At 35.3% G+C, this 13,836-nt stretch overlaps 1 protein-coding gene across 4 annotated transcripts in view, besides 1 other annotated feature; it reads left to right on the forward strand.

Moving 5' to 3' along the window:
• TBC1D23 (TBC1 domain family member 23) overlaps positions 1-13,836 on the forward strand; it is a 64,247-nt gene that overhangs the window by 48,004 nt on the left and 2,407 nt on the right. For 3 of the 4 annotated variants that reach the window (NM_001199198.3, XM_017006841.3, XM_047448562.1), the window contains 5 exons: positions 1,408-1,547; positions 2,838-2,882; positions 7,104-7,192; positions 10,074-10,209; positions 11,782-11,976. In NM_001199198.3, coding sequence (NP_001186127.1) covers positions 1,408-1,547; positions 2,838-2,882; positions 7,104-7,192; positions 10,074-10,209; positions 11,782-11,976 — 605 coding nt within the window. The remainder of the gene's footprint in view (positions 1-1,407; positions 1,548-2,837; positions 2,883-7,103; positions 7,193-10,073; positions 10,210-11,781; positions 11,977-13,836) is intronic. The other variant, NM_018309.5, reaches the window with a different exon arrangement.
• Positions 7,657-7,836: an enhancer, noted in NCBI's record as "active region_20153". NCBI's record gives its function as "activates an Ori minimal core promoter by ATAC-STARR-seq in GM12878 lymphoblastoid cells {active_cell/tissue: GM12878}" and the evidence as "EXISTENCE:reporter gene assay evidence [ECO:0000049][PMID:35858748]".

Here is a 13,836-nt window from a genome sequence, read left to right on the forward strand (position 1 = left end):
GAATCACCTGAGGTCAGGAGTTCAAAAATTAGCCAGGTGTGGTGGTAGGTGCCTATAATCCCAGCTATTCAGGAGACTGAGGCAGGGAGAATTGCTTGAACCCAGGAGGCGGAGGTTGCAGTGAGCCAAGATCGCACCACTGCACTCCAACCTGGGCAACAGAGCAGGACTCTGTCTCAAAACAACAACAACAAAAAACACAAAAAAGAATTATACTCGCATCTCTTACATTTGGTACATCAGGATAACTTTTCTTCAGAAAATAAAGGCCTAAGTGGCAATGTCTTTAAAAAGCAAACATTTACAAGGGATATTTAAAAATGTAGCTGCATGGATAGTAGTTTGATTATACTTTTGCTTATTTTTGAAGACTAGTCTGAGATAAGAAAGGTTAATAGTTTTAACTATTTCTTATTGAATAAATAAGGTAATTTCAGGCTCCACACTCACATATGTGCAAATAGTAGTTTGATCATACTTTTGCTTATTTTTGTAGACTAGTCTGAGATAAGAAAGGTCAGTAGTTTTAACTGTTTCTTATATAATAAAAAAGATAATGTCAGACTCCACGCACATATATGTGCAAGTATATCCTAAATTTTTTATTCTACCTTCTTTTTTTTTTTTTTTTTTTGAGACAGCGTCTCGCTCTGTCGCGCAGACTGGAGTGCAGTGGTACAATCTCAGCACACTGCAACCTCCACCTCACAGGTTCAAGCAGTTCTCTGCCACAGCCTCCCGAGTAGCTGGGATTACAAGCACCCATCACCACGCCCGGCTAATTTTTGTACTTTTAGTAGAGATGGGGTTTCACCATGTTGGCCAGTCTGGTCTTGAACTCCTGACCTCATGATCCACCTGCCTCGGCCTCCCAAAGTACTGGGATTACAGGCGTGAGCCACCGCGCCCAGCATCTACCTTCTATTCTTAAAATGATTTCACCTAATGAATTAGTTTGCAGCTGCCGCAACAAAATATCATACTACAAACTGGGGGCTTAACCAATGTAAATTTATTTTCTTACTGTTCTGGAGGCTAAAAGTCCAAGATGAAAGTATTGGCAGGTTTAGTTTATCCTGAGGCCTCTCTCCTTGGCTTGCAGATGGATGCCTTGCCTTGTGTGTCCTTACATGGCTTCTCTGTTTTCATGTGCTCATGTCTTTCTCTCTTATAAGGACACCAGTCAGACTGGATTAGAGACCACCTGAAGACCTCATTTAACCTTAATTATGCCTGTAGAGGCCTTGTCTCCAAATACAGTCACATTCTGAGATATACTGGGAGTTAGGACTTCAACATATGATTTTGGTGGGATTGCAATTCAGTCTATAACATGTAGATAACCATTAGCAGTAGTATGTCTTTTAGTCATTCAGAGGCAGTTAATCCATTATGTTCTTTTTTTAGGGTGAATCTCCTAATGGCTCAAGTGATAGAGGAATGAAATCACTAGTAAATAAAATGACTGTGGCTTTGAAGACAAAATCCGTTAATGTCAGGGAAAAAGTTATCAGTTTTATAGAGAATACATCAACTCCTGTGGATCGGTGAGTTGTTTATACAGTATGAGTTTATGATGAGTAATTAAAACTAAAGAAACAATGTCTTAGAGTAAGTAAATGTTAGTTGAATTTAATGTGTTCCAGAAAAGGATTATAAAGTATATTTTCTATTAGATGATTTCATAGTTTTCATTAGAATTGCAGGAATGTACTTTATATCCATAATTATTCTCTCTTACTACTCAAAGATGCAAATAATGTATCTGTCACATCATGCCATTCACTAAAAGAAATTTATGTCCCAGTATGTATCACATTTCATATAGTAGCTGCTTCCCAAATGTCAAATGGATGGAGAATCATCTGCCGAATTCAGTGATCTCATAGTAGGAACTTCTTCTTCTGCTCCAAGATTTTAAAACCTAGAAAATCTGGTCATGCTAAATATAGCAGAAACCCACCTTCTGATGTTTAAGATCAGACCTTCATAGAATTTCGTTTACAAAACCCCATTTCCTTGTAAATTACAAATGAGGGACATGGTTAACAATTTAGAAATAAGTTTAAAAATATCTGTTATATATATTGTTTCTTATTGTAACTGAGGATACATTTTTTTCTCCACGTATAAGTCTGTTTGATCTTTCTTGTTCCTAGAGTTCAAAGCTAACCTTATAATTGCAACACAGAATTTGTTTTAAGGAAGCCTCATATTGGAAATGTGTTATAGTATTTGGTTTCACTTTCATGTCTTGCAGTATCCTGGGAAAACTGACATATTTTACTTTAAGAATTGAATGTCAGGGATTTGTTGTCTGTCCCTTTATTAAGTATAGTATATATGCATACAAAAGCACATTTTTCTGCATTTAGTAAATAGCCGAGAAGGTAATAGATTATTTTCATTGATCCAAAACATTGTACCTTATCTAAAATGGTCAACTGATAATTACTAAGGTGTTTTATCAAGCCTGAAAGACTTGTTTATGCAGTAAAGTTATGTCTTCTCAAAAGCTAACCCTTTTACCTTTTGTTGGTGCTTCTGAGTTGGAGGACTATTATTGCTACATTTTGTAGCATGAACATTTACAATTTTATTTTAAAATTTATTTGTTTTAAAATGTACTGGTGATAACTAAGTCAAAAAGACTGCTGCCTTGATTAGTTGAAATTGGCTTTTCTTTGTTTTTCTTTGTACTTGGGATGATGGAAACATCTTCTTTATAATGTACACTCTGGGTGAGAAAAACTAAACTGTACCATATTTTTTGTTTTAAAGCTGTTGCATTTTTTTTATAATCATTTTGTTCTGTCCTCTGCCTTGATTTGCTATAGAATGTCTTTCAATCTTCCTTGGCCAGACAGATCATGTACAGAGCGGTAAGCCAATGAGTAGAGCATTTTTCTTGAACCATCCTTTTCCTTTAATATGCTTCATGCCATCTATAAGCCTCATGCTGTCTTGGCTCAAATTTCATGCAGCTATTTCAAATGCTAAACTTTCCTCATTCTGCTTTTTAGGAGTGTGTCATGTTTATTGATACACTTTTCTTTTTGTTTTTTGCTTGATCATTTTAATTTCTTTTCCTGCATGCTTGTTTGTATCACCCATTCCACAGATGAAAATTAAGTTTGTTCAAAACCTGCAGTTTTTATTCTGAGACAGGGGAAGGTGAAACAAAGAAAGTATGTGGTCGCGAGTTGGCAGGTTATCTGCTTTGGTGCTCATTTGCTTCTATCTCCCGCCTAGCAGCAGAGAAAATTATAGCACCTAAAAATAGGCACCGTTCATGGTTCAAAATTTTTGTTAATTTGTGTACATTATGTAATTTTATATTTTTAGATTTTTCTTAATAAGATGTATGTATATAGGTTGAGTTAGCATATATAAATCTCTTCCAAGAAACTACAGTTCTAGGGTTCTGCCTTTGGTTTTTGTTGAAAAAAAATTACATTTTTTTCTAGGTAGTTGATTACTTTAATGTATAATCTGTCACTTCTCTAACCCAAATAAAACGAGGTGCTTCTCATTAAAGACAATAAGTTTAAGGTTTAAAAATCTACTGGATCTTCAATTAGGGTAACAAAAGAACTTTACTAACTTAACTCTGTGTGACTTTACAGTTCTTATACTCACAGAATTTTTCAGCAATTTAATTTAGAATATCAATTACAGCAACACCTACAAACATTTAAAAAGAAATTCTATAAATCCTAAGTGGGCCAGAAAAAAAAATAAATTCTAGTCATATTTTCAATGTAAGTTAAGCTTTGGAATAATGGAATGGAATTTTTCTCGGGTCACTTCAGTATTCTCAGTGACTTGAAGTAGCATTTTTAAGAATAATACTTCACTCTCTAAGACTATACTTTCAGCCGGGCGCAATGGCTCACACCTGTAATCCCAGCACTTTGGGAGTTGGAGGTGGGCGGATCACGAGGTCAGGAGGTTGAGACCATCCTGGCTAACATAGTGAAACCCCGTCTCTACAGAGTGAGACTGCGTCTCAAAAAATAATAATAATAATAATAATATAATAATAATAGTTCACCCTCTAATAACTTATCTTCTAAGAGTTTTGATTTATTGTGACTATGCCTACACAACGCCAATTACAGGACTTCTGCTAATAATTTTACCTAGCACTACTTTAAAGGAAATTGCTTGTTTTAAAATTACAATCTATTTGTGAATCATCCTTTCCATTTTCTTCTGTTACAGGACCATTGAATTAGTCTAATTTTTTTCAACTCCCAAGTTCTCAAATTATTAATTTTTGTAACTTAAATCATCTCTGATCCACAGGTAGATATATTTGTTTTGAAAAGAGAATCTAATGAGAAGTTAGAATGAATTAGGTTTCTTTCTAAGCTCAGTAAATTAAAGCCTACTCAAACCATACTATAGATGTTTCTACTATTACCATGGCAAAAAAAGTATAGATATTGTGCTTTAAAAAATAGTACAGCTGTTGAATTTTATTCATTTTTAGCCAGTCTTTCAAGAAATGTCTCAATAATCCTTAGCATTCATGTTTATAAAAAATTTGCATTGTATTATAAATCTTGATTAACAATTAATAATTTGTTTTTTAGGATTATCTCTTTACTCATACTTTCTGGTTATTTGGTTATCTGGTTACAGCAAATGCTTATTCGCTGTAAACATTTATCTTTGTTACTTTTTATGTTATGGCAGTTTAATTGTGCTTAATATTAGGAGAAAACTTATAATCTAATCTATATAAAATTTTACAATCTAGATGGCATCAAAGCATTTTTAGATAAAGCTCTTACCTCTGTCTTTGCTTTTTGTAAGAAAGCTGAATCTGAGTTTCAAAGGCATCCAAATTATATCATTTTCTATCTCTCATGAGCATAGTTTGGTAATTTACAGGACAATTTTGTATTAGATATATTTTAACATAAAACCAAATGATTATGTCACTTGTAATTTAATCAGACTTTAAGCCTATGTATTGATTAACCTAACTTGTAATTTCCAAAGAATATTTGTTATACACTAAACTCTCATTATATTTATTGAGGAATGTTATTTTGGAAGAAGTAAATCAACAAAATTAGGCTACAAAATTTTTTTTTTTTTTTTTTTTTTTTTGTGACCGAGTCTTGCTCTGTTGCCCAAGCTGGAGTGCAGTGGCGCAATCTCGGCTCACTGCAACCTGTGCCTCCTGGGTTCAAGTGATTCTCCTGTCTCGCCCTCCCAAGTAGCTGGGACTACAGGTGCGTGCCACCACACCCAGCTGATTTTTAAATTTTAGTAGAGACGGGGTTTCACCATGTTAGCCAGGATAGTCTCGATCTCCTGACCTCGTGATCTGCCCACCTCGGATCTTTCGGCCTCCCAAAGTGCTGGGATTACAAGCGTGAGCCACTGTAACCGGCACAAAAAAAATTTTTATTGATAGTGTGTAAAGTATAGATTTGATCTCTATCTTCTGGGAAATTTGAATTCTAAACCTAAGTAAAGGCCAAGTGTGGTGGTTCACACCTGTAATCTCAGCACTGGGAGGCTGAGGTGGGAGGATCACGGGTCCAAGAGTTCAAGACCATTCTGTGCAGCATAGCAAGATCCTGTCTCTGAAAAAATAAAAAAATTAGGCAGGCGTAGTGGCACACCCCCGTGGTCCCACACTGTGGTCCCAGCTACATGGGAGGCTGAGGCAGAAGGATTGCTCCAGCCCAAGAATTCGAGGCTGCAGTGAGCTAAGATTGCGCCACTGTACTCTAGCCTGGGTGACGGAGTGAGACCCTGGCTCTAAAATACTACTACTACTACTAATAACTAAAGGCATGTAACTTGATTTTTTCTCACATTGGAATAGCTCTTGAAAATAGAAGATTTTGAGTGTTTTCATGTTACATGCACACACCCAAAAAAGCTAGAGTCTTCCTTTGTAGTAGGTAATTTTAGCTGAACCTTATCCTACAAGTAAAACAATGCTTTTCCCCTCAGAAACATGTAGTATTTTATTGACACATTTTAATTTTACCTGTTAGTTTATTTGGGATTACCTGAAAATTAATAGGATATTAATTTTTATATTCCAAAGAAAGGTCACACTTCCTATAGACCTAATCAAGTTTGAGTTTACATGTTATTTATGCCTCTGCCTTTTGAAAAAGAGGCAGATTCTTTTTTTTTTTTTTTTTTTTTTTTTGAAATGGAGTTTCACTCTTGTTGTCCAGGATGGAGTGCAATGGCGCTATCTTGGCTTACCGCAACCTCTGCCTCCCGGGTTCAAGTGGTTCTCCCGCCTCAGCCTCCAGAGTAGCTGGAATTACAGGCATGCGCCACCATGCCCAGCCAATTTTGTATTTTTAGTAGAGACGGAGTTTCTCCACGTTGGTCAGGCTGGTCTTGAACTCCCGACCTCAGGTGATCCACCTACCTCGGCCTCCCAAAGTGCTGGGATTACAGGAGTGAGCCACCGCGCCCGGCCGAGGCAGATTCATTTTTATGGCTTATATTTACACAACAAAAGTAGAATCTTCATTTCTATTGAAACAAAAGTAACAGTAATAAAAAAATGTGAAGATAACCCTTAAGACACCTGCACTTATATGAGAAGCCTTAACCAATCATATTGGAATTTGAATATTTGGTGTTAGTAACTTATTTTACCTAACAGACATGAAGGTAGCACCAGGCATTGTCCTAATAGTTTTACAATAAAATTGACTGATTTAGTTCTTACTATAACCCTGACAGGTAGATATTGTTAGCACTATTTTACAGAGGAGGAATCAGAAACACAAAAGGCTAAATAACTTCCGCAAGGCCAAACAGATCTAAGCATTGGTTTTAATATGGATATTGAAATTGTTTAAAATTTAATTTTTACATATTTAAGAGCATTCAGCCTACCAAGGCCTTATGCCACTTTTGCTAACATAATTTCTTTATCTTCTTTTAATTTCCTTAACATAGCTCTCCTAAAACTATGGGTAGTACATGGGGTTTTGGGGGGGTCAGGTAAGGAATAATTACATTTTGTGTGAATATTCAAATGATGCTTGGTAAAAATCTTTGATAACTTCTTAAGTGATTATTTCTCTCCTAAAATTCTTTGAATATAGGCATGTGAGCAGCAGTGACAGAGTGGGCAAGCCTTACCGTGGCGTAAAGCCTGTTTTCAGCATTGGGGATGAAGAAGAATACGACACAGGTGTAGTAATACACTTAGCTACAGACAGCTTTGCTGTCATTAGGAGTGATTACAGCAGTCATTCTGGGAATAGCCAATCAACTGCTTTTTTAAAAAAATGAGATTCTGTAGAAATAATTGGAGAATCTGTGGCTTTCTATTAAGAGTTTGGTTTTAGACACCTTGAATTGTTGTACGTATTAGAAATCCAAGCACCAACATGGCACATGTATACATATGTAACAAACCTGCATGTTGTGCGCATGTACCCTAAAACTTAAAGTATAATAATAATAAAATTTTAAAAAAAAGGAATCCAAGCAGAAATGTTGAGTAGAGGCAGTTGATTATAGGTGTCTTCAGCTAAGGAGAGAGGTTTAAACTGATGATAATTTGGAGGCTATCAGTGTGGAAATAGTATTTAAATCCAAGTGATGGGATTGAAATCCCTTTGATCAGATTGAAATTCCTTTGATCAGCCACCTAGGAGATTGAGAGTTGTGGGACTAAAGCACTGAAAATTACAAAATTGAGACATCTGAAGTCTTGAAACTGGAGGCAATATCCTAAAGGGCCACAAGATGGTGATACTGTGTCAGGGAAGTTTATCTTCTCTGTGGTTATGTTTTAAAAAAAATAATTTAGGCCGGGCGCGGTGGTTCACGCTGTAATCCCAGCACTTTGGGAGGCTGAGGCGGGCGGATCACTTGAGGTCAGGAGTTCAAGACCAACATGATGAAACTGTGTCTCTACTAAAAGTACAAAAATTAGCTGGGCATGGGAGTGCATGCCCATAATCCCAGCTAATTGGGAAGCTGAGGCAAGAGAATCGCTTTAACCCAGGAGGCGGAGGTGCAGTGAGCCAAGATCATGCTACTACATTCCAGCCTAGGTGACACAGCAAGACTCTGTCTCAAAAAAAAAAAAAAAAATTTAGTCTTTGGTTTATAATTCTACTGTCCAGCTTATCCTAATTAAGCAATCATAACTAATATTGGTTAATATGTGTATTGAGTTAGGTAAGCAGTCATAACTAATATTGGTTAATATGTGTACTGAGTTAGGGAAAAAATATATAAATGTACAGAATGAGAAAAAAAGACTCCCAAATCTCACCTTGCTTTTTCCAGTTAGTAATAAATACATGTTGCATATTTTCCATTTCAGCTCATGTATCTCCTCATTCTCCTTCTATCATATAAACATACCATACTTTATTTAGTCAGTCTTCCAGTTGACACTGGTGGTTTTCCAGGTTTTTTGTTTGTTTCAAATGACACTGGATCTTTATATAAAGATATATATGTAGATTAGCTTCTGATGACAGTATATTCAGAGGGTAAATTCTGCTAAGAATTTTAAATTTTAAATCTTACTGCTAAGTAAGATTGCTAGGTTATAGGGAATCACATTTGACATTTTAATAGATACATGAAATCACTTTTCAGAAAACTTGCAGAGAGGTAAATGTGATATTTCTGCTTGTTTCCTTTTCTTCTTTTTTCCCCTCTCTGTTGCCATCTCTTTCTGTTAACTCTCTGAATATCTCAACTTCTTCCATTAACAAAGGGGAGAGGCAAATGGATGAATAAATTGTGTCATATTTACATTTATCATGTATCTACACACACATATTTACAATATGGAAAATTGGACCATAATGAAAGTGAGAAAACTGAAACTATGTGTATCAGTATGTATGAATTTCAGATGTTGGGAGTAGGGTAGCAGTTGTGGAAGAATGCAGTTGAGTAGTCTACTTTTTATATACATTTATATACATTTAAGTGTATATATACATTTATATACATTTAAGTATAGAATACTACTGTATATTATTTAGGGATATGCATATATGTTAAAGCAAAGACATGTATGGAACTGATAACACCAAATTCAGATAATTAGTATTTCTTGGTGGGGAAGGGAGGAGAATGTGAGTAGGAGGAGATACATGAGAGTTTCACTTTTGTTTAAGCTGGTGTAGATAACGTGCGATTTCCTTTTTCATTATGTCTCTATATTTTGCAGTATTTGTTAGAAAGCAAAGGACAGAACCTGTAATTATTTACCTTAGAGACTGTATTATCCCTTTCTTAAATTAGAAAATATAATTATTTTATATTTCTCTTAGGGAAAATAACCTTAAATTTTTACTTATTTATCTCAGGATTGATTTTATTATTTTCCTTAAAATCAAAAAAGCAGCAAGATAAAACGAAATCTGCCATCTTTACTCTCAAGATAGGTGCCTATTGTTTAACAATTCAGCCATCTCTTTACAGACTAGTCAGATCATAGTTAAGTTATGCATATCAAAACAATTGAAATACCCCAAATGGTTTAATCTTTAAAAGTGTATTCTTAATATTTAAACCTGACTTTGTTACCATATGAAAGTGATGTTTGATAATAATATTTCTATATTATCAGTGGCATAAGGAAATAGAGTAGCAGGATTAGAATTGATTGCGTTATTCTTTTTTTTTTTTTTTCTTTTTTTTGAGACAGTCTCATTCTGTTGCCCAAGCTGGAGTGCAGTGGCGCAATCTCAGCTCACTGCAACCTCCACCTCCTGGGTTCAAGCGATTCTCATGCCTCAGCCTCCCGAGTATTTGAGATTACAGGTGTGCACCACCACACCCAGCTAATTTTTTGTATTTTTTAGTAGAGATGGGGTTTCACCATGTTGCCCAGGCTGGTCTCCAACTCCTGCCCTCAGGTGATCTGCCTGCCTCAGCCTCCCAAAGTGCTGTGATTGCAGGCGTGAGTCACTGTGCCCAGGCTGTTTGTTTTTCAATCCATATCTTCAAAATACTACTGAAATTTTTTTAGACTGTTAGGGAATGTATCATTTTAAAAGTTGGTAATATCCATATTTAATACTTTGTATTTTTTATAGATGAAATTGACAGTTCTTCAATGTCAGATGATGATAGAAAAGAGGTTGTAAACATTCAGACTTGGATAAACAAACCAGATGTCAAACATCATTTTCCTTGTAAAGAAGTAAAAGAAAGTGGACACATGTTTCCCAGGTACTTTTAAAAATGTCTTCATAAGAAGTAAAATTGAATTTGGGGAAGTTAATAATACAAAACTGAACTACAGAAGAACCTTTATTTATCCTAGTACAATAAGATATAATTCCCTTCTGTCTACTTGTATTACAGGTCTTGAATTTACAGTATTATGTAATTTTTATTTTGAAAAATTTTATACAAAAATGTTGAAGGAATAGTACATTGAACACCCTTATGATTCTTTTTTTTTCTTTTTGAGACGGAGTTTTGCTCTTGTTGCCCAGGCTGGAGTGTAGTGGCACGATCTCTGCTCACAGCAACCTCTGCCTCCCAGGTTCAAGTGATTCTCCTGCCTCAGCCTCCAGAGTAGCTGGGATTACAGGCATGCGCCACCACCCCCGGCTAATTTTGTATTTTTAGTAGAGACGGGGTTTCTCTATGTTGGTCAGGCTGGTCTCGAACTCCGGACCTCAGGTGATCCGCCCACCTCGGCCTCCCAAAGTGCTGGGATTACAGGTGTGAGCCACCGTGGCCGGCCATGATTCTTAGATTTATCAACTGTTACCACCTTTTAATACCACCCCATTTCGTATGTATATATATATACATATGCATGTATATGTACATTTTTGTCAAACCTTTCAAAAGAAGTCTACAAATGTGACACTTCATCCCTAAATGCTTCAGCATAAACTTCCCAAGTATATGAGCATTCTCCTGCACAACTTCAATGCCATTACCCCACCTAAAAATTTTTGTAAATTAACATCATTTAACATACAGATCATACCCCAAATTTTCAGTGTCCCCAAAGTATCTTTTGTAGTGTGTTTTTTCTTTGGTGATCCATGATCCAGTTCATGGTTTACACATTGCATTGTCTGTTATGTGTCTTTAGTCTCACCCTGTGTACAGCAGAACTCATCCCCCCACCCCCTCGCTTCCCTTTTCTCTTCATGATGAATGAATCCTTTGAGTCCAGGTCAATCATCCTACAGAATGTTCCACATTCTGCACTTGTCTGATAACTGTCGTATTGTATTACTGTACATAAAAAATGTGAGAGTATTATATTAAAAAGAAGCTGAGATACAGGGGTTGGGTGAGTGTTAATAATACTATGCTCATTTTGCCTTCAGGATCCAGTTACAGAATGTTTACAAAATATGTAGGGAAACCCAACAATTGCCTAGTGATCTTGGATATTAGATATAGGATATGGTGCATTGAATGAGAATAGTTTATGAATATAGGTAATAGCGTTAAAAAATCTGAAACGTAATATACTCCATTTCAATAAAAAATATATTATTGTAGTGATTTCTATGTTGTATGGAACTTTTTATTATATTTATTATATTTTCAATCATTGCAGGATTATCTGTTAATAAAATATTAATTTTGCATACAATTAAAAGGTGTTAATGTGTAGCTTACTTGTTTATAGATTAACCTCTGTTTATATCTTTTAACTCAATTTTATTTAGAGTTGAACATTTCTAATAATTGAGATGGTTGAAACAACACCTGTTTTGAATTAAATTTACTTAAAAATTCTTTTTCTTTTAATGCTTTTTTTGTCTCAAGTCATCTGTTGGTTACTGCAACACATATGTACTGTTTAAGGGAGATTGTTTCACGGAAAGGATTGGCTTATATACAGTCTCGACAAGCGCTGAATTCTGTAGTTAAAATTACATCCAAAAAAAAACATCCTGAACTCATTACCTTCAAGTATGGAAATAGCAGTGCTTCAGGAATAGAAATCTTGGCAATCGAAAGGTAAGATTTTCCTTAAGATAATATTATCTGAATTCAGATATTATCTGAATTACTGTAGTTCACTATAAAGAGTTTGTTTCTTTATTTTGGGGAATGGATGGTGGAATAGGATAGCTGAACCACTTTTAGTGTTTCTTATCTCTTTCTCCGGAGTCCTTAGTCATGTGTGGTTTAGCCATTAGCACATGATTTGAGTAAGTGCCATAGCTAATTTCATAAAGTTTCTGACCCAAGGATCCTTATTGTTAATCTGTACCAGTGCTGCACTAATTGCTGGCTTGCAGAGAAATAAGAAACTTGTTTTAGAATATGTTGATATTTTTATTTTCCTTCATCGAAAAATTCTTGTTTTGACAAACTGTCAGTGAACTAAGCAGTGTGCTGGGTGATATAGGTAATTTACAGCCTGGTACAAGCCCCCCTTTGTCTCATTGTGGGTCACTAACAGTTCACAGACTGGCCCAAGAGCTGTGGACCACACTGATATTGATACTAAACCATTTTTTAATTATAGATAAAAATATGAAGCCCAGAGGGGTGGAATGACTTCCCAGATCCTAACACTTAGTTTGTGACAGAACCAAATATAGCCTTCCTGACTCCTGATTTGTGGTTTATTATACCTTGCATCAGTTCAAGTTGTTCCCCCACTGGGATTTAGGATTACACTTATTATTTACAGGAGTGCTTGGATAAATAGTAAGCTTAAGGTTATATCGCAGCACTTTTAAATAATCAACTTCAGTTGGAAGAGGAAATTATTCAGCTTCTTTCATCTTGTACTGACAATTAGGTAGCAAACATCATGAATCTATACTGTTTTATGTAATTTGTTAAAAGAAAATAATACCTGATTTGTAAAAAAAAAAAAAATCACTTCATTGCTTTATGTAAGAATAAATATTTACATAGTGATATTTTCAATTAATAATATAAAGAATATGTCATTCTAATTCTCTGTTAACACATTGATGTGTATCTTCTCAGATTTTTTTTAATGCATATGTTATTTCTCTACTAAAAACTAGATAAATGTGATATAGGCTTGTTTTTGTGTTCTGATTTTTTAAGAAAATAGTATAGTGTGAATATACTTACATTTTAATAAATATAAATTTTTTAAAATTAATTAATTAATTTTTTTGAGACGGAGTCTCTGTCACTCAGGCTAGAGTGCAGTGTTGCAATCACGGCTCACTGTAAGCTCCGCCTCCCAGGTTCACACCATTCTCCCTGCCTCAGCCTACCGAGTAGCTGGGACTAGAGGCGCCCGCCACCATGCCCAGCTAATTTTTTTATTTTTAGTAGAGATGGGGTTTCACCGTGTTAGCCAGGATGGTCTCCATCTCCTGACCTCGTGATCCACCCACCTTGGCCTCCCAAAGTGCTGAGATTACAGGAGTGAGCCACCGTGCCCGGCCCAATAAATATAAATTCTTAGCTTTTTAATGGTAGATATTCTGTTATAAGGATTTCTCAGGAGATTGATTTAACAAGCCTCATGTTGATTGGCATTTACATTGTTTTCATGTGTTTCACTATTAATCTTCTAGTGGGCCTTTAAAAACATGTATGTTTACATAGTTGTCCAATTAGTCTTCTCAGGATAAATTCCTGCAAGTAGATTCAATGGGTGAGAGGTATACACATTTTAATATCTACTTATAAATTAATCCTAACCAAAGGAGATTTGAATTATGACTCTCTCATGTATAGTAAAAGTTGGGAATTGTGTTTTAAAGGCTTTCCCACAAATTTTGCTAAATAAATTGAAGTTTATTATATATGGATCAACATCTTTTTTTTTTTAATTCAGAGTTTTGGAAGATAGTCTTAATAGTGGAAGATAAAGTAACTAGA

Source organism: Homo sapiens, chromosome 3 (assembly GCF_000001405.40).
Source record: "Homo sapiens chromosome 3, GRCh38.p14 Primary Assembly".
NCBI lineage: Eukaryota > Metazoa > Chordata > Mammalia > Primates > Hominidae > Homo > Homo sapiens.